This window comes from Homo sapiens, chromosome 12 (assembly GCF_000001405.40).
Source record: "Homo sapiens chromosome 12, GRCh38.p14 Primary Assembly".
In the NCBI taxonomy this organism is placed as follows: domain Eukaryota; kingdom Metazoa; phylum Chordata; class Mammalia; order Primates; family Hominidae; genus Homo; species Homo sapiens.
In genome coordinates, this window is record NC_000012.12 from 48,499,399 (window position 1) to 48,500,612 (window position 1,214).

The 1,214-nt window shown below is 51.6% G+C and overlaps 1 annotated feature.

Annotated features, from left to right (window-relative positions):
• Window positions 299-953: an enhancer, noted in NCBI's record as "NANOG-H3K27ac hESC enhancer chr12:48893480-48894134 (GRCh37/hg19 assembly coordinates)". NCBI's record gives its function as "activates a minimal SCP1, AML or CMV promoter by ChIP-STARR-seq in primed H9 embryonic stem cells {active_cell/tissue: H9 hESC(primed)}" and the evidence as "EXISTENCE:reporter gene assay evidence [ECO:0000049][PMID:30033119]".

Genomic DNA, 1,214 nt, shown 5'->3' on the forward strand with positions numbered 1-1,214 from the left:
TCTACTTGTGCACTAGGTCCATAATGCATCAAGCCTTCTCAAAAGCATTGCTCCCACAATTCTCCCCTTTTTTCCTGAATCATTTTTTCTTTCTTGTTGCTGTTGCAATTATTTCAATATCATCTATATATGCTATAATTTCTCCCATTTCTCACCACTTCCACTCTTTTCTCTATTAACAGAACTCCTCTAGCTTATGCTTAGAGCTTTGTGTGATGTCTTTTTCTATCCTTTTACTTTTAATCTATGTGTTTTATATTTATATTTAAATCATATTTATATTTCAAACTTATATTTGAGTCTTGCTTTTTTATTCATTCTAAAATTTCTACCTTTTTTTTTTTTTAATTGATCATTCTTGGGTGTTTCTCACAGAGGGGGATTTGGCAGGGTCAGGACAATAGTGGAGGGAAGGTCAGCAGATAAACAAGTGAACAAAGGTCTCTGGTTTTCCTAGGCAGAGGACCCTGTGGCCTTCTGCAGTGTTTGTGTCCCTGGGTACTTGAGATTAGGGAGTGGTGATGACTCTTAACGAGCATGCTGCCTTCAAGCATCTGTTTAACAAAGCACATCTTGCACCGCCCTTAATCCATTTAACCCTGAGTGGACACAGCACATGTTTCAGTGAGCACAGGGTTGGGAGTAAGGTCACAGATCAACAGGATCCCAAGGCAGAAGAATTTTTCTTAGTACAGAACAAAATGAAAAGTCTCCCATGTCTACTTCTTTCTACACAGACACGGCAACCATCCGATTTCTCAATCTTTTCCCCACCTTTCCCCCCTTTCTATTCCACAAAGCCGCCATTGTCATCCTGGCCCGTTCTCAATGAGCTGTTGGGCACACCTCCCAGACGGGGTGGTGGCCGGGCAGAGGGACTCCTCACTTCCCAGTAGGAGCGGCCGGGCAGAGGCGCCCCTCACCTCCCGGACGGGGCGGCTGGCCGGGCGGGTGGCCGACCCCCCCACCTCCCTCCTGGACGGGGCAGCTGGCCCGGCGGAGGGGCTCCTCACTTCCCAGTAGGGGCGGCCGGGCAGAGGCGCCCCTCACCTCCCGGACGGGACTGCTGGCCGGGCGGGGGGCTGACCCCCCCACCTCCCTCCCGGACGGGGTGGCTGGCCGGGCAGAGGGGCTCCTCACTTCCCAGTAGGGGCGGCCAGGCAGAGGCGCCCCTCACCTCCCGGACGGGGCGGCTGACCTGGCGGGGGGCTGAC